The sequence below is a fragment of the Homo sapiens genome, chromosome 1, assembly GCF_000001405.40.
Source record: "Homo sapiens chromosome 1, GRCh38.p14 Primary Assembly".
NCBI lineage: Eukaryota > Metazoa > Chordata > Mammalia > Primates > Hominidae > Homo > Homo sapiens.
In genome coordinates, this window is record NC_000001.11 from 21048297 (window position 1) to 21067492 (window position 19196).

The window sequence follows — 19196 nt, forward strand, 5'->3', positions numbered from 1 at the left end:
AGTTATCAACTGCTTGTCTTTCATATCAAAATTCACTGTTTGCCTGTAATAAGAAAATGGATCTGAGCTCTATAAATATTTTAACATTTCAGCTGACACAACATTAAGTTTTGTCAGTAGAAGGCTCTAGAGATATGTAGAAGGAAAGGGTTTTGCTCCCTGGTTCCTGGTTCCTGGTTCCTGGTTGCTCCTGCAGCCCAGATAGCTTCTCCAAAAGATGGCTTCTCTAGTGACTAGCTCCCCTCATGGACATAGCTTCATCAGAGCAAGATTTCTGCTTCAGTGCACAGCAAGCAACAGTACCCAGCAGCCAAGAGCTACCCCTGGTATTCCCTCAGGAAGACACGCAGCACAGTGGCTTTTCTAAGAAACCTCCCTGCGAACAGCTTTCCCTCGGCACCCTAGAGGGCAGAATTCTCACAAGTTCTGAGGGTGGATTTTCAGTAACTTCCACTGAAATGGCACCACTCCCATTCAGAAAGCCACACCGTGCCCTCTCCAACAAGGTCAAGATCTTAGCCCAGGGTAGGGGTAGCAGTCTCTCACCTAAAACTACCACAAAAAATAAGACGTAGGTTTGGTAGGCCTTTTTTGGATGTAGAGGCAACATATATACTACATCTGAATGTGCCACCTTAACCGACTACAGAGTCACCTAGGAAGTTTCCAATTTTGAGTAGGGAACACAATATACGAAGGTTATACAGCAAATTTGGGATGGGCAGTGCAAGCTGCTCTACCACTTGGGACTTCTGATCCAGTGGATCTAATGTTTTGAATTGTCTGTGGGAAACAGATATGCAGTAAGGAGCCTTTTAGCCATTGTGCCCTGCATCAGCTCTTGGCTATAAGAGATTGGTGCTGGAGAAGAAAGCTTTCCCCAATACTTCATAGGGCACATTTCCAGCAAGTTCCAGAACAAAGAGTTTCAGCAAGTTCTGAACAGCACCACAGTGGCTCTTCTACCACAGCCTTTGGCTCAACCCTACAGAGAAAGGCTCCCTATCTGAGCCTCTACTCAGCCCTAAGGTAAGCGTTTGCTCTTTATATCTTATATTCTTGAGAGTGCATAGTTTTTCTCTCCTGATTAGACTCAGATTAATACACCTTAATAGTAAGTTGAGAGGTTGTGTTCAGTCTAAGAAACCCAACACAGGAACCTCATTTAAACAATCAGGAGCTCATTTTGTTTTGTTTTCAATGTTTAAAACTCCAAATTATATAGGAATGATTTAGACTAAGTTTAGGTATAGCACTAAGTTCTTGACAAACTTATATTCATTAATAGGGCTATTTCAGTCATGGTTTGGCAAACTGTACATTCCTTTTCCAAACATTCTATAGTCTAAAATATAATTAATCAGCACATGGCCAGGAGATCAAGGCCAATCTGAGCAACATAGCAAGACCCCATCTCTACAAAAAATTTAACCAAAAGAAAAAAATTAGCCGGGCATGGTGGCATGAGCCTGTGGTCTCAGCTAACTGGGAAGCTGAGGCAAGAAGATCACTTGAGCCCAGGAGTTAGAGGTTACAGTGAGCTATGATCATGCCACTGTACCCCAGCCTTGGCCACGGAGCAAGACCCTGTCTTTAAAAAAATAATAAGGAATAAAAATTGTCCCTAAAAAATAATGAAGAATAAAAAATAAAATCAGCCCTTAACTTATAATCACCACCTTTAGCATTATTTTTAGTAATTCCTGATCTCTCCTATTATTCAATCTCTAAAAGGCCTAAAATATGGAGGCTAAAATCACAAATAATGTTATAAAAATGATTTTCATTATCAAAAGAGTAGCTGTTACATGTAAATACTGATAATCTCACACAGTTAGATCAACGTTATTGGCTTGACTCAGTCCACATTCTGTAAGGGACTTTATAACTCTAGCCAACTTTTAACCACAAGGAAATCCAAACAAGCTTGCAACAGTAGGTCGGTGCAAGCTAAACAATATATCTTGGCAAACAGCTTAAGTGCAAGGAACACATAGGAACATCCTCCTTAAACAGTGTCTGAACGTCTGTTGTTACTATTAAGTAGAAATACACTAAGGAGTTCACAATTCTTCTAACAGTTCAACAAAAACTTAAGCCTATCAAATTACAATAATCGACTTACAAAACAACCAAACCAACAAACAAAAAATCCCACTGATGCTACTCAAGAGGGGAAGACACCAAGTTTTCACATAAGTAGAAAATAACCATTAATGCTTCACCCGAAAGGGGTGCGAGACGGTAGCAGATTAAGCATCGAAAAGCAAATCAGTGCTTTGTGGGGGGGTTTTCCAGTAAACTTTAGAATAAAACTCTAACTTCTTAAACAATGAAAATGAAAACTAAATATCACCAACAGTTAATTTTTAATGACTTCAAAATGAAATGTGTGAAATTTGTTAGTAGCCATCTTTATGAACGGTTAAGTCTGAAAAGATGCCAAAGACAAACTTGAAATTACTATACAAGTAATGTTTTATGTTACTGCTTAGGAGTCTCTTTAGAAAAACAAAAATGATGCCTTTACAGGGACATTTCTTATTTTTTTAAAAAAGGTTTATCTTACTTGAGAGAGTCCAGGGGACGATGCATGTCCCGGGGGCGTTGCCGCAAGATTTGGATGCCCCTTGTTTATTTCATGTGCTGAATAAGGGGATGGGGTAGGGGTTCCCGGCTGTCTTGCCACTTGTGTTACCTGTGAGGAAATCAATATTTAGTAAGAACATTATATTAGTAAATCAATCTTAATAAATACAGCTGAACTATCTGATTTTTAATTGGATTTCCTACCTCACAACTTACACTAAAATAAGCACGAGACTGAACAAACACTTAAAATTTTTAAAATTGAAAAAAACAGAATTCTTTAAAAATATATACATGAATATTCTCATCAATTTGATAAAAGATTCTTGAAGCATGATCTCAAAACCAAAAATCATAAAGGAAAACACATGCTACAGGAAAGAAACAATACTTCAAACTACAAACTGTATGATACCATTTTGTAAAAGGAACAGAAAAGAAATAAATGGTTGAAAGAGGAAGGAGATGACTACAGAAGAGGAACAAGGAGATTTTTGAGGGTGACAGAACTGTTCTGTATCATGCTTATAGTGAGAATTGAATGTCTCTGCTTGTCAAGACTTATGGACGTATACACTAAAAAGGGTGAATTTTACTAAATTACATCTCAATAAATCTAAACTCCAAAAATGGCAAGTTACTTATACGACATAATCTCATTTTTGTCTTTAAAAACATATATCTGGCCAGATGCTGTGGCTTATGCCTGTAATCCCAGCACTTTGGGAGGCCAACACAGGAAGACTGCTTAAGAACAGAAGTTTCAGACCAGCCTGTGCAACATAGCAAGACTTCAACTGTATTTTATAAAAAAAAATTTTTTTTTCATTAGCTAGGCATGGTGGCATCCACCTGTAGAAATAGTTACTTGGGAAGCTGAGGCAAAAGGACTGCTTGGGCCCAGGAGTTCAAGGCTTACAGTGAGCTATGATCACACCACTGTACTACAACCTGAGTGACAGAGGAAAACCCTATCTCTTTAAATACAAAAAAATTTTTAAAAAGGACATCTAAATATACATATACATACACATGTGTAGGAATATTTCTATATACATTATTTGTTTACGTATGCATATAATACACACACATACATCTAAAAACATGTATATGTAATATTTTTAAAGATCTGTAAAGAGATATACCAAAATCTTAACAGAAAGCATTACAGGTATTTATTTTCTCATTTATATTTTCTAATATAATACAATAATCACAAATTTATACAACTGAAAAATAATCAGCATGTTTTTACGTAACCAAAAATTTCATTTTCTCCGTTTTTTGCAGGCAATAAATTGCTCATCAGCCCATTACGGATATGAAACCACTTTACTCAGACCCCTAGTGGAAGTGTCTACCAATCAATCCTAGCCAGCTCTTCCCTCTCATACACTAATGCAGACTTAACACTGATGGTTTTGCAAACTTTCATGAATTATGGGCAGTTCTGTCCTCTGCTAAAATGAAAGAAGTCATTCTCCTTAAGGAATAGTTCTTAAATTTGAGAGGAACACAAACCCTTTGCCAATCTAGCATAAAATACAGACTTCTCAGAATCGTGTTATTAAATACATAAAATACATAGGATTATGACAACAAATGATCTATATTGAAATACAGGTATAAAAATATTAAAACAAATTCCTAGCTCCCTCCTCTCCCTCTCCCTCCTCTCCCTCTCCCTCTCCCTCTCCCCACGGTCTCCCTCTCCCTCTCTTTCCACGGTCTCCCCCTGATGCCGAGCCAAAGCTGGACTGTACTGCTGCCATCTCGGCTCACTGCAACCTCCCTGCCTGATTCTCCTGCCTCAGCCTGCCGAGTGCCTGCGATTGCAGGCGCGCGCCGCCACGCCTGACTGGTTCTCGTATTTTTTTGGTGGAGACGGGGTTTCGCTGTGTTGGCCGGGCTGGTCTCCAGCTCCTAACCGCGAGTGATCCGCCAGCCTCGGCCTCCCGAGGTGCCGGGATGGCAGACGGAGTCTCGTTCACTCAGTGCTCAATGGTGCCCAGGCTGGAGTGCAGTGGCGTGATCTCGGCTCGCTACAACCTCCACCTCCCAGCTGCCTGCCTTGGCCCCGCAAAGTGCCGAGATTGCAGCCTCTGCCCGGCCGCCACCCCGTCTGGGAAGTGAGGAGCGTCTCTGCCTGGCCGCCCATCGTCTGGGATGTGAGGAGCCTCTCTGCCTGGCTGCCCAGTCTGGAAAGTGAGGAGCGTCTCTGCCCGGCCGCCATCCCATCTAGGAAGTGAGGAGCGTCTCTGCCAGGCCGCCCATCGTCTGAGATGTGGGGAGCACCTCTGCCCTGCCACCCCGTCTGGGATGTGAGGAGCGTCTCTGCCCGGCCGCCCCGTCTGAGAAGTGAGGAGACCCTCTGCCTGGCAACCGCCCCGTCTGAGAAGTGAGGAGCCCCTCCGCCCGGCAGCCACTCCGTCTGGGAAGTGAGGAGCGTCTCCGCCCAGCAGCCACCCCGTCTGGGAGGGAGGTGGGGGTCAGCCCCCCGCCCGGACAGCCGCCCCGTCTGGAAGGGAGGTGGGGGGGTTAGCCCACCCCCCGGCCAGCCGCCCCGTCCGGGAGGTGAGGGGCGCCTCTGCCCGGCCGCCCCTACTGGGAAGTGAGGAGTCCCTCTGCCCGGCCAGCCGCCCCGTCCGGGAAGGAGGTGGGGGGGTCAGCCCCCCGCCCGGCCAGCCGCCCTGTCCGGGAGGGAGGTTGGGGGGTCAGCCCCCCGCCCGGCCACCCGCCCCGTCCGGGAGGTGAGGGGCGCCTCTGCCCGGCCGCCCCTACTGGGAAGTGAGGAGCCCCTCTGCCCAGCCAGCCGCCCCGTCCGGGAAGGATGTTGGGGGGTCAGCCCCCGCCCGGCCAGCCGCCCCATCCGGGAGGTGAGGGGCACCTCTGCCCGGCTGCCCCTACTGGGAAGAGAGGAGCCCCTCTGCCCGGCCAGCCGCCCCATCCGGGAGGGAGGTGGGGGGGTCAGCCCCCCGCCCGGCCAGCCGCCCCGTCTGCGAGGTGAGGGGCGCCTCTGCCCGGCCGCCCCTACTGGGAAGTGAGGAGCCCCTCTGCCCGGCCACCACCCCGTCTGGGAGGTGTACTCAACAGCTCATTGAGAACGGGCCACGATGACAATGGCGGTTTTGTGGAATAGAAAGGGGGGAAAGGTGGGGAAAAGATTGAGAAATCGGATGGTTGCCATGTCTGTGTAGAAAGAGGTAGACATGGGAGACTTTTTATTTTGTTCTGTACTAAGAAAAATTCTTCTGCCTTGGGATCCTGTTGATCTGTGACCTTACCCCCAACCCTGTGCTCTCTGAAACATGTGCTGTGTCCACTCAGGGTTGAATGGATTAAGGGTGGTGCAAGATGTGCTTTGTTAAACAGATGCTTGAAGGCAGCATGCCCGTTAAGAGTCATCACCACTCCCTAATCTCAAGTACCCAGGGACACAAACACTGCGGAAGGCCGCAGGGTCCTCTGCCTAGGAAAACCAGAGACCTTTGTTCACTTGTTTATCTGCTGACCTTCCCTCCACTATTGTCCTGTGACCCTGCCAAATCCCCCTCTGCGAGAAACACCCAAGAATGATCAATAAAAAAAAAAAGAAAAGAAAAAGAAAAAAACAAAAACAAATTCCTGACATAGTAATATATGTTCTTCAGTGGTGCGTTAAAAATAATAACTAATGGCAATTGTTGTCTATATTCATAATGCAAAGAAATGCTAAAATTCATCATTAGACATATTCTCTATTTTCAGTTCATAGGTCTTCTGAATTTTATCATAAAGTTAAAAACTCTGCTCAGGGAAAAAGGAAAATGGCCTGGAATTCACTCAGTCAAAAGGTCTGAAGAAAATCTAGTCCCTGGTACTCTAACCTTCAAATCACTTATAACTCTCTAAACAGATATAAACATCTTCAGGATCAGCTACCTGATCCCAATACTGAAATCAAATGGACTCACACAGAACTAACTAGAACCAAAAGCTTACGAGTTAAAAGACACATAAATGATGCTACCATATGACCAAAGATTAACACTTAAAATAATTGTATCTAGTTTCATCCTTGTTTTTTAAATAACTTTGATTATGATTTTCTTGGGAAAATTTTGTTTCCAATTTTGAGTGACTATTACATTTATAAAGGCATAAAGTTTACCATGAAATGTAACAGCATATATAAATCTCACCAAGGAAATTTTTCAAAGGAGAAAAGTTGGATTGCTATTTAAACATCTACTTTAGAAAATTAATAATCAGAAATGAAGAGCTCTTATAAGAAAATTTCTTACAACAAAGCTTATGAATTTATATTATTTCCCATGTTTTAGAATTAATTATTTTGATATTTTGCTAAAGTAAAAACCTCAATATGAATACACATTTTTAACACGGGAAAAATTCTGTACAGTGAAATAAAGTGAAAATAAAAAGAGAGCAAAGAAGTTAACTATATAAAATCTATCTTAGACCAGTTTTATGATTTATTCTGATAAAAATTAAATACCAAATTTGCCCATGACAATTAAATCATAGTAAATTTTTAAAATACTATTGATAAAAAATATTAAAATACATTGTATGTTTATCAATTAAACTAACAAAAGTAAGTTAAAATAAAATCTTTGCCCCATTATTGGCAGGGATCTAAGGAAACAGGACACAGATAAAATACTGTGAATGGGTTACTTTACTATCTTCCCAGGATTACAGAGCAATGTGTCACCAAGTGCTTCAAAACCATCACCCCAAAATTATTTCACTTTAGAGTACATACCCTAAAGAAAATCTCACCTCAAAAATTAGGAACTTAAAGATATATCCAGTGCATTTCATATGATGGCAAAAACAGGTAGAAATAGCAACCAATGAGAAAATGAAGTAACACAACTGAACTAAATACATAAAAAATATAAACCTGTACACTAGTATCAACAGAAATATATGAAATAATTAGGAATAATAAAGGAAAAATACATCTGCAGAGTTGTAAAGACTGTAAGCTATGTTTCTTACAGAACTGTAAAGAGGTACTGACATATACTAAAGAATACTGAAAGAACAATTTAAATTATTACACATAAAATTAGTATCCATTGGTTTGTCAGAAAACTATTATATTGCCCCATAAAACACAAATGTTTGAGAGAAAGAGAAAAAGCATTGTGCCAAAGCCTAAAGTGCTGTTCTTTCTACATAAAAAGCTTCCTTAAAGGAAACACCAATGAAAAACAACTTTCAGGGGTATATCCCTATGGTATGCATCCTTTGCAACTCTAAATAGTTCTGCCAAACTGGTAATCCTTTGGTATCAGATATTCTAAAAAGGCACTTCCTCCTAAATTTGGGGATGTCTACTAATAAAAGCAGGCCAAAGAAAATAAGTCTGTATCAAAATAATAGAAGAACTAGAATTTCTAAGAAATTCTTCCTAGAAACAGGCTGTTACATATAATAAAAATCTCTCAGCTTCACTGTGCTCTATTCAATTCAAATAAGATCCTCTATTACATATGTCACACTGCATTAGGCATTCCATATTCGCTTTTAGTGTATTTGTTACAGGGCTTAATGTCTCTGCCAGGGAAAAAGGTATACCATCTTTTACTAGAAATTATACAGAACAGAAATAGCACAATCCTATCCCAAAGAAATGGCACAAAGGCTAATAAAATTGTCATAGATAAAAATCAAATTTACACTAAAATTTAAATACCTCTTGCAAAATATTCCTAAATTAATGATTACTGAATCCTCTATTATCTAGCTAAGGGTTCTTCTCTCTTGGTAAACTGTTCAATTTCAGGTCATACTGTTGAAATCCATCTTCTTTAAAGGGAGTAGCAACAAGTTCTCATACAAAGAAAACAAGTACGTTTTCCCATTATTTGAAAGATATTGCTACCTTCTCAATTATGAAGGCTGGGAGGGAGCAGAGGTGTAGAACAGCTGAAAACAGCAACTACTTAACTACCTCCAAAGCTAAACAGACTGTTGTCTTTTCTATAATATTAATCCTAAGCAAAATACATCAACCATTTCTTGTAGTGCAATATATGTTTGTGTGTACTGCTTATTGCATTTAAAAGAAAATATGCCCGAGAAACATTTTTGCTTCTTACAGATATTATATTTTTGCATTGGTAACAATGTGGGGCTTCCAAAATTCTCATTCTCTTGCTGGTAGAAATGTAAACTGGTACAACCACTTTGGGAAGCAATTTGGCAGTAGCTGGTAAGCTTGGAAACAGTCATGCCCTATGACCCAGCCATTCCACTCCTAGGTATACCTCTGGTTGAAAACAATGAAAACGTGCACCAGGGTACATGAACAAAAATGTTCATAGTTGTATTGTTTTAATAACCAAAAATTGGAAACAACCCAACTGTTCATTAACAGAATTGATCAATAATGAAATTTTCATACACTGAAAATTTTCCTATACAGAAACAGAATAAAAAACTACCATAACACAATTTAGATGACCCTCACAAATGGTACTGAGTAAAAGATTAAGAAGAATATATAAAGTATGATTCCATTTATCCAAATATCCAAAACCGGCAAAACTTGACCGTATTAGTCAATAGATGTACACATGTTTAGCAACACTATAAAGAGAAGCAGGAAAATGACTTTTAAAAGGCAGATAGTATTATTTCTGGGGAGAGAGGAAATTATGACAGAAAGGGCATGTGATTTTTTTAAAGCTGGTTTAAAATTTTTTTTTTGCTTTAAAATTATTTGTTAAACTCTACCTTTAAGTTTTATGTACTTATATGAACGTGTATTTTAATCCTCTTCCACACCACCTACCTCAAAAACAAGATTAAAGACAAAAACAAGCAAACTACTAACACCTGTGATAAAATATCACTTACATTGGTATTATACTGTTACTCTGCATAGAAGAAAGAAAATTTAAAAAGAAATACTGCTGCAAGAAAGAAAAGCTCTAAAATTTTGACTCAGTGGAAACTTCAGGTAGCTAGTGAATTTTCATTCAAGATTTCCACCAAAAAATAATCTCCTATAAAATTAATGATATTTGGTGGTTGGTGACCAATATTAACTTGACAGAGTTTTTTAAAAATTTAAGGTAGACCATAAAGATCATGCAAATTAGGATTAGTCATTAGGTATAAAGTTTATTTATCTAGCACTAACTTATTGGATTTGATTATATTCTGGCCAATTAAGAGCTATCATACATAAACCACAATTTTCAAATAATAAATAAAATATGGAAAACAAAGTTTCCTTAACATGATCATTCTTACATGACTCCAGAGCAAGAGAAATACCCCCTGGAGGAAACAAAATGGGAAAAAACTGGCCAGATGTAAACAACAGAGATTAGGGACTATGGAAAACGATAAGAGAATGGCCACTCCCCAGAGGGCAGCAGATACTGAGATACTCTCCTGTAGTCAAGTACTGGCATGCAGGAATTCCAGATAAGCAGTGCTACTTCTTCAAAATTTTCAAGAGTAACCAAAAATAAGGCTTTCTGCATGAAATTGTCCTGACTTCCCATACACACTACAAGCCAAATAAACCATATATTGGTATATTAAAAACACAGGCAGCCAGAGTGTGGACATGGCTCTAGGGGTATCTCATGATCATCATCAAATATAAACTTGCTTTTTCATTTTTTTTTTAATGAAATCGGGTCTCACTGTGTTGCCCAGGCTGGGGTGCATTGGTGTGATCACAGCTCATTGCAGCCTCCATCTCCCAGGCTTAAGTAATCCACCCACCTCAGCCTCCACAGTAGCTGGGACTACACGTACATGCCACCATGCCCAGTAATTTTTCTTCTTCTTCTCTCTCTCTCTCTTTTTTTTTTTTTTTTTTTTTTTTTTTTTTGTAGAGACAAGTTCTCACTGTGTTGCCCAGGCTGGTCTCAAACTCTGAAACTCAAGTGATCCTCCTACCTCCGCTTCCCAAAGTGCCAGGATTATAGGTATGAGCCACCACACCTGGCCAAACTTTCTATAAATACTCAGATATAGACTTGTGACTGGATTCTACACAAACAGGCATTGACTGAATAGATATATTGTTAAATATAACACACACACAAACCACTGTTTTTATTCTATATATTTTATATAATATGAATGAAAACATACTGCTTTAAAAAGTATAGTAATTAATCAGTTACTAAAAGAATAACAGGAAACTCCAGGATTCCTATCAAGTAAATTAATTTTTCAGCAACAAATGATTCCTATAAAGGTAAAAGGCACATGGTTTATATGTGTGACATCCCTTATTTTCTAAATCCCAAGATAAAGTTTATTTAGTGAGGTCATCTCAAAACATTTCAGCAGCTGCAACTCATACACAGAAATAACAAAGTTCAATTCTGGGTAGTTTTGAAAGATCCCAAAGCTTTTCTTATGTGGGTAATTTCTATACTTTATGCTCCTCAAGCAGCAGAATAGATAAGTCAAGTATTTTTCCCTTCATTAATATTTTGTATCATCCTAGTTCTTCCTTCAGGTCATTTATTTCCCCAAATCTACAGATATTGAGAACTAAATAAAAGCTGGTCTGCTCAACTAAAAGGAGCACTACAGTGGATATGAGGAAGGAAGTTTTACTTATACATGACACCATTTGAATTCTGTTAATATCATTGCCAATCCCCAACCACCAAGAAAAAAAGAGAAAGAAAAAGAAAATGGCATTCCTCCTTGCTCTACTCTTACCTATACTTAATAGGTTGAATTACATGAAATTCCAGATTTACAGATATTCAAGTATATTTTAACCTTAAAAAAGAAAAATAATTTTATATGATTCAAGTAATACTTAAAAACTCAAGCAAACACATACCATGTATGTTCTACTATGGACTTTGTCAGCACTGGGTTTAATTCTGAGGGTTGCTTTTCTTATTTAGTAACTATCCAATAGAAACAAGAAAATGTTGTTAAAATTGGAGGGTCAGTAACAATGCTAACAAATGAAAAAATAAACGAATAAGAAAGAAGCACTTCCAAAAATGTCTAGGTATCAAAGGTTAACGAAAGTGGACCCTATGTGAATCCTTGAGGGCCACAGGGCAAACTCTTTTTATTAAGACAGGGTCTGTATCACCTAGGCAGGTGTATAGTGGCCCGATCTCGGCTCACTGCAGGTTCCACCTACCTCCCAGGCTCAAGTGATCCTCCCACTTCAGCCTCCTGAGTAGCTGGGACTACAGGCATGCACTACCATGCCCGGCTAATTTTTTATTTTTTGTAGAGACAAGATTTCACCATGGTGCCCAGGCTGGTCTTAACTTCTAGGCTCAAGGGGTCCGCCTGCCTTGGCCCTCCAAAGTGCTGAAATTACAGGCGTGCGTCACTGCATCCAGCCAGGGTGGACTCAAATCTAAGATGGCTCTCAGTATTCCTGTACTTGGTGTACACACCCTGAATAATTCCCTCCTCTGAAGAATAAGGGGTGCCAGTGAATATAATAGGGTAACACTGATCTGGCTAGGTAATTTATCAGTTATCTGAATTAATCAAGAGACAAATCACAAACTTAACAGCTTAAAACAACACACATTTAAGTCCTTGTTGGCATGGTAAGGACTTAGGGTTTTATTCTAACATGACTGGGAACCTACTGGAAGTTTTAAAAGCAGGAGTGTGAAAAGATCGAATGTTTTCCAAAGATCATTTTGGTTGCTTTGTAAGAATAAGAACTGAAGAGTACAAGAATAGAAGCAGAGATTAGTTAAAAGCTATCATGCCAGGCCACAGTGGCTCACATCTGCAGTCCCAGCTACTTGGGAGCGTAAGGCAAGAGGCCCAACAGTTCGGCGCTGTAAGGCACCATGATCATGCCTGTGAAAAGCCACTGCATCACAGCCTGGTCAACACAGCAAGATCCTGTCTCTTAAGAAAAAAAAAAAAAAAAAAAAAACAAAGCTACTGCAATCATCTTGGCCACAACTAATGGTGGCTTAGAACACGGTAGTAACAAGATACTTTGTTTGAGCAGGTGGAACAGAAAGGAATGTAGACTGATTGATTCATTCATTCATTTAACATATATTTATTGAGAACTTTATACCAAGCATTGTACTAGGTGCATGGAATACATCAGTAAAAGAGACTAAAATCCCTGCATTCCTGGAGTTTATGGTCTAGCTGAAATACTAACAGCCATAATACTTAAATAAATTATATAGTATACTTGAAAGTGATAGATTATGGATATCAGGGATGGATTTTAAGTTTATGGCTTGAAAGATTAGGTGGGAAGAAGGGAAAGTATTCCTAATCCAAAATGCTTGGTACCAGAAGTATTTCAGGTTTTTTTTTTAATTTTTGAATATATGCACTGTACCACTTCAGCAGCCCTAATCCAAAAATCCAAAATCCAAATGCTCTAATGATCATTTTCCTTGAGCATCATGTTGGCACTCCAAAACATTCAGATTGTGAAGCATTGTATATTTTTGGATCGGGATGTTCAACCTGTTATTACTGTGAGACAGGATTAGAGGCAGAATAGACAAAGGGAAAGGGATAACCACAAGTAGTTTTAGATGCCTATCAGAGATTCAAATGGAAATAATAAGTAGTGTGTTGAATACATGAATCTAAGCTCAGGAGAGCAGTCAGGGCCAAGCAAGTAAATCTAGAGGTAGGTTCATTACCAACATTCCACATAGCATCTAAGCTAATTATCAAAACTAGCAAATTTCAGATGAAAAAGTCTGAAACTTATGAGAGGAAGATGGCAAAAGGCAAAGCTAAAATTTATTTCTGGATCAATTTTGTCAATGTCAATTGTTACATACTCAAGGTTGTGCTCACTCTCATTATGTAATCAATATGGTTTATTTCTCTGCTTGTTTTTTTTTTTTTTTTTCTTTTTTGAGACAGAGTCTCACTCTGTCACCCAGGCTGCAGTACAGTGGCGCGATCTCGGCTCACTGTAACCTTCACCTCCTGGTTTCAAGCAATTCTCCTGCCTTAGCCTCCCAAGTAGCTGGGACTACAGGCACATGCCACCATGCCTGGCTAATTTTTGTATTTTTAATAGGACAAGATTTCACCATGTTGGCCAGGCTGGTCTCAAATACCTGACCTCAAGTGATCCATCCACCTTGGACTCCCAAAGTGCTGAGATTACAGGCGTGAGCCACCGCACCCAGTCTCTCTGCTTGCTTTTTGTTTGTTTGTTTCTGAGGCAGGGTCTTGCTCTGTCACTCAGGCTGAAGCATAGTAGTGCGATCATAGCCCACTGCAACCTCAAACTCCAGGGCTCAAGCAATCCTCTCGTTTCAGCCTCCCAAGTAGTTAAAACTACATGTGTGTGCCACTACACTGGGCTAATTTGTTTTATTTTTTGGTGAGACAGGGCCTCACTATGTTGCCCAGGCTGGCTTCAAACTCCTGGGCTCAAGCAATCCTCCCACCTCAGCCTCCCAAAGTACTGGGATTACAGGCATGAGCCACTACTCCTAGCCTCTGCTTATAATTCTAAAAGAAAATAAACAAGATCATCAGAGAATAAATCAGTAATATCCTAAACTAAAATTAAATCAAAGTCAGAATCTCAGAATTTCAAAATATAGGCAAAAGGTGACTAAGGAACAATCAAACCAATGTCAGTAGTCTCAGGATTGATATGGATCTAGCACCACGGAGAAGACGTAAGCAGTAGATATATCCACAGATATAGATATAGATACAGATATAGATATACCTATTTTTTTGAGATGGAGTTTTACTCGTTGCCCAAGCTGGAGTGCAACGGTGCAATCTTGGCTCACTGCAACCACTGCCTCCCGGGTTCAAGCGATTCTCCTGCCTCAGCCTCCCAAGTAGCTGGGATTACAGGTGCGTGCCACCACGCCTGGCTAATTTTTTCTATTTTTAGTAGAAACAGGGTTTTACCATGTTAGCCAGGCTGGTCTTGAACTCCTGACCTCAGATGATCTGCCCACCTTGGCCTCCCAAAGTGCTAGGATTACAGGCGTGAGCCACGGTGCCCAGCCAATATATATATATTTTAAATAATGGGTCTGCTGATGCTGGGACAGAATATAAAGGATAGGCAGGATACCACACAGCAATCCAAACCAGTTTGATATGATTCCTAATTTCACCTACTCTGTCATCATAAATGAATTATGTGATAAATACCATAGAATATATATTTATTTTTTTAATTTTTTTGAGGCTGGGTCTCACTTTGTCACCCAAGCTAGAATGCAGTGGCACAATCACAACTCAGTGGCGCCTCCACCTCCCAAGCTCAATCAATCCTCTCACCTCAGCCTCCTGAATAGCTGGGACTACAGGCACATGCTACGACGCCCGGCTAATAGGAGATGTATTTAAAGTACTGCTGAAAAATCAAAAGTAACCAGGTCTGAGAAGAATCTGGAAGGGTTTGGTGGCACCTGACTTACACTTTGAGAACAACAAGGGTTCAGATCAAAAGTTAGAGGCAGTATTTTGAAAAGAATATTGATTCTGCTGAGAGAGCGTTAAAAAAAATAGAAAATTTATGGATGCCAAGAAACTATGTGACAGTTGTTTGAACACTGTAAGAGTAAAAAATACTAACTCATTAGAGAACAAGTAAATACATTCTTAAAATATATATTTAGAAAAATGTGTTTTAAAAATGAGAAGTTGCTTATGGTATAATTTTAAGTAAAGAAAGCAGGACAGAAATCGGTGGTGCACTAATAACTTTTTTTTTTAAGTGCACAGCAAAACAACTTGAAGGATCACGTTAAAATGGGTGGTGTGAGTCTTTTGTTAACAACATCACGGATGTTTTTCCTGTCATACTTTTCATTTTGGGGGGGGGGGTGTTGGGGGGGGGGACGCAGTCTCACTCTGTTGCCCAGACTGGAGTGCAGTGGTGCAATCTTGGCTCACTGCAACCTCCGCCTCCCGGGTTCAAGCAATTCTCCTGCCTCGGCCTCCCAAGTAGCTGGGATTACAGGCGCATGCCATCACACCCAGCTAATTTTTTTTTTTTTTTTTGGTATTTTTATCACAGATGGGGTTTTGCCACCTTGGCCAGGCTGGTCTGCAACTCCTGACCTGACCTCAAGTGATTCACCTGCCTCAGCCTCCCAAAGTGCTGGGATTACAGGCATGAGCCACCATGCCCAGCCTCCTGTCATACTTTTCTCTGTGTTTCCATTTTTCTAGCAGACACATTAATTTTATAGTGAGCAAAATCTGCTATTTGGAACTTGGCAGTGAGGTATCCAGACTGTCTTATAAAATCCTGCTTAAGCCAATGATGTAGTTGAGGATGGCGAGGTTCATGCTATCCTTTGTGCCCTGCAGCCAATGGCGAGGTTCATGCTATCCTTTGTGCCCTGCAGCCACCCAGAGACTGCAAGGACACAATCAGTGAGTGATCACTGATTCTTATCATCTGTTTGCGCCCTTGCAATCCTTGTGGACAGGAATAGGATTTAATGAGTACTTATGACAGTACTTGCAGACAAGTGGCCACTCAGATGTTTAACTATAAATATTTTCTCTGTTACTAATTCAACCAAATCTTACTATTATATGGCTATTTGAGGGTAAAATTATTTAGAATATCAACTCATGAAGACATCAGGTAGCCAGGGCTGCTTTACAGCGTAAAGGGAGGAAGCCAAGATAGTAAAAACATTTTTATTTCTTTCACTGCTAATAGAATCGTGTAGCACTATATTATGATTCCAAGGTCCTTTCCCAGTTCAACAGCAAAACCTTGATCAGTTAGGAATGACTGTCTTGAATAAAAAAAAAGAGTGGTAAGGTTTGTCTATTCTACTAAATCCAATCATTTAGTAAAACTACACAAAATTAGTAACAGTCTACACAAGCATAACAAATTAACTCCTTACTTTTTCAAGGAATACATATATTACAGGCCAATTGCTGTCCTTGTGGTCAGAAGCAGGAACACTTGACAACTCCTCAGAAGATGTGGAGTGAAGACTTTTAACATCATCTGAGGAGTGATGGCTTTTAACAGACACTCACATTCTCTTTCTTATGTTCAAAATCCATAGTCAGAGCTTTCCACCAAGACAAGGTTGTATGCGAGTCTGGAGATTACTGATATACATTCAGTGACTGCAATGGAATTAGTCATTTACCAACTTACAACTTAATTTTTTAAAACTAATGCCTTACTATTTTCCTGTTGATCTTCAGTCAGTTGCTAATCAACTAGTTATTTAACTGATCCAAGGTAAGTGAATTCTATTTTAATTCCAAGGTATTAATAAATCTCAGATTTTAGTATTCAACTATAAGCATAAATTCAATTATATTATCAAAACCACAATATTAAGTTCCTCTGACACAGATCCAAATCATGTAAGATGTGTGATATATGCCTCCATTCTGAGGCTGAGTCACGAATTATCACTTTCCAAACACAAACTTGAAAGAAGGAACATAAACAGAAGGTAAACAGATTCAAGGCATCCAAGTAGGCTAAACAGCATCAATAAAAGAGCATGGGGTTGTTTCTACCAAAAAAAAAAAAAAAAAAATTTAGCATGGTGGTGTGCACTTGTAGTCCTAGCTCTAGGGAGGCTGGGAGAGAAGGATTAAGCCCAGAAGTTGCAGCAAGCTATGATCATGCTACTGCACTCCAGCCTGGGAGACAGACTGAAACTCTATCTTAAAAAAAAAACAGTGGTGGGGCGGCGGGGGGAAGAAAAAAAGAAAAAAATGAGAATGGGTTTTGGTGTCAGAGACCTAAGTTTGAATTCTGGCTCTACTATACAGAAACTATATAAGCAAATTACTTAAGTTTAGTTTCCTCTTCTGTAAAAGTGAAAAGTAAGGACTTATCATGCTGATTTATTCAACACATTAAGATAATATTTATCATAATGCCTAGTATATAAAAAGTGTGTTTAATTATTTACAAATATTTAAACTGTTGGTTTAAAATCCTAATATTAAGCCAGTAAGTGTAAGACAGTTTTGGGGTGAAATGATTCCTGCTTGATTTTCATTTATACAAATGGGGGTGAGAGTGTTACAATAAACCTAAAGCTGTGGTTTGCAAAGTCTAATCCTTTAAGCAAGTTTAAAATAAATACTTGACCAGCCTAGGAAACATGGCAAAACCCTGTCTCTAATAAAAATACAAAAATTAGCCAGAGGTTGTGGCTACTCAAGAGGCTGAAGTGGGAGAGGGCCAACTGAGCCCAGGAGGTCAAGGCTGCAGTGAGCCATGATCATACCACTGGGCAACAGAGCGAGACTCTGTCTCAAAAGAAAATTAATAATAACAAATAACTAAATACTTGACACCTCATCCTAATTGATTTTTCTGAATTTTTTAAAGAGTTATGGCGGGAGGGGGAGGGATGAGGGGCCAGGCCCTGCAGCCTCATCAGACTCAGTCCACTCCTGGAGGAAAAAAAAAAAAAGTAAAAAATATAAAAACATTAAAAAAAATAAAGTTACTAAACAAATGCTTATTGAACAAAGAATAACAATATACCATTGATTTTACATTAGATATGTAAAAAATTAACATAGAAATGTTATAGCCATAAGAAATTAACAGAGTCAAAAGTTCTTTGGGATCTGTAACAGCTAAAGAAACTAAACACCTTTCTAATCTAGTATTCTGCATTCTATATGGCAATTAAGCAACCACAGAATGACAGTTTAAATGCACAAAGAACAGTTTCTAATCCTTCACAATTTCTTGCCTACAGAATTCCCGACAGCCAGATGTGCTTTTAAAAGATAAAAAGGGAACTGTATAAAGTTGAAGTTAAATGCTCCAGTGTCTATCAAAGTTTACAGTAAAAACTGATCGTTCTATTCATGACAACAACTTCATGGCAATAATAAATCCATGCCTGGAGATACTAATGGTCTTTCTTTCCTTTTCCTTAAAATAATTAAAACTCCATTTACCACACAACTAGTTATTAAAATCTAATTTCCTATGACTCATTTTAGTTAAACGTGGTCCATATCAGTTGTTTTATTTTTAAAAACAGTACATATACTTTGTAAAATTGCTGTGAAGGGAATATCCCACAGTTCAAAGAAACACATTTTCAGTTTTCAAACATTAAAGAACTTTATTATTATTTCTACTGTTTTCTTATCCCAGAAATTCAAAAGACATTTATAACTGGCATTTAACAAAATAACATACCCTTGTATCTTTAAGGTTAATCCTTCTTTTGAAGAAAAGTAATCAGGTAAATACATATTAAGTAATTTTTTTCTTTTCTTTTTTTTTTTTTTTTTTGAGACGGAGTTTCATTCTTATCACCTAGGGTGGATTGCAATGGCATGATCTTGGCTAACTGCAACCTCTGCTTCTGGGGTTTAAGGGATTCTCCTGCCTCAGCCTCCCGAACAGCTGGGATTACAGGTGCCCACCACCATGCCTGGCTAATTTTTGTATTTTTAGTAGAGACGGGTTTTCACCGTGTTGGCCAGGCTGGTCTCGAACTCCCAACCTCAGGTGATCTGCCCACCATAGCCTCCTAAAGTGCTAGGATTACAGGCATGAGCCACCACGTCTGGCTTTTATTAAATAATATTTTAACAAGGTATCTGATTTAACATTTAATGAGCAAATTCACATT

At 39.3% G+C, this 19196-nt stretch overlaps 1 protein-coding gene across 64 annotated transcripts in view; it reads right to left on the reverse strand.

Moving 5' to 3' along the window:
• EIF4G3 (eukaryotic translation initiation factor 4 gamma 3) overlaps nt 1–19196 on the reverse strand; it is a 370606-nt gene that overhangs the window by 242005 nt on the left and 109405 nt on the right. For 62 of the 64 annotated variants that reach the window (XM_047433321.1, XM_047433366.1, XM_047433324.1 and 59 more), the window contains one exon: nt 2570–2698. The exons of the other annotated variants lie outside the window; for them this stretch is intronic. Coding sequence is in view for 1 of the 62 variants with exons in the window: in XM_047433231.1 (XP_047289187.1) it covers nt 2570–2698 (129 nt within the window). In the remaining 61 variants the exon portion in view is untranslated. Of the gene's footprint in view, nt 1–2569; nt 2699–19196 lie in introns of those variants that run through there. 64 annotated transcript variants of the gene reach the window in all.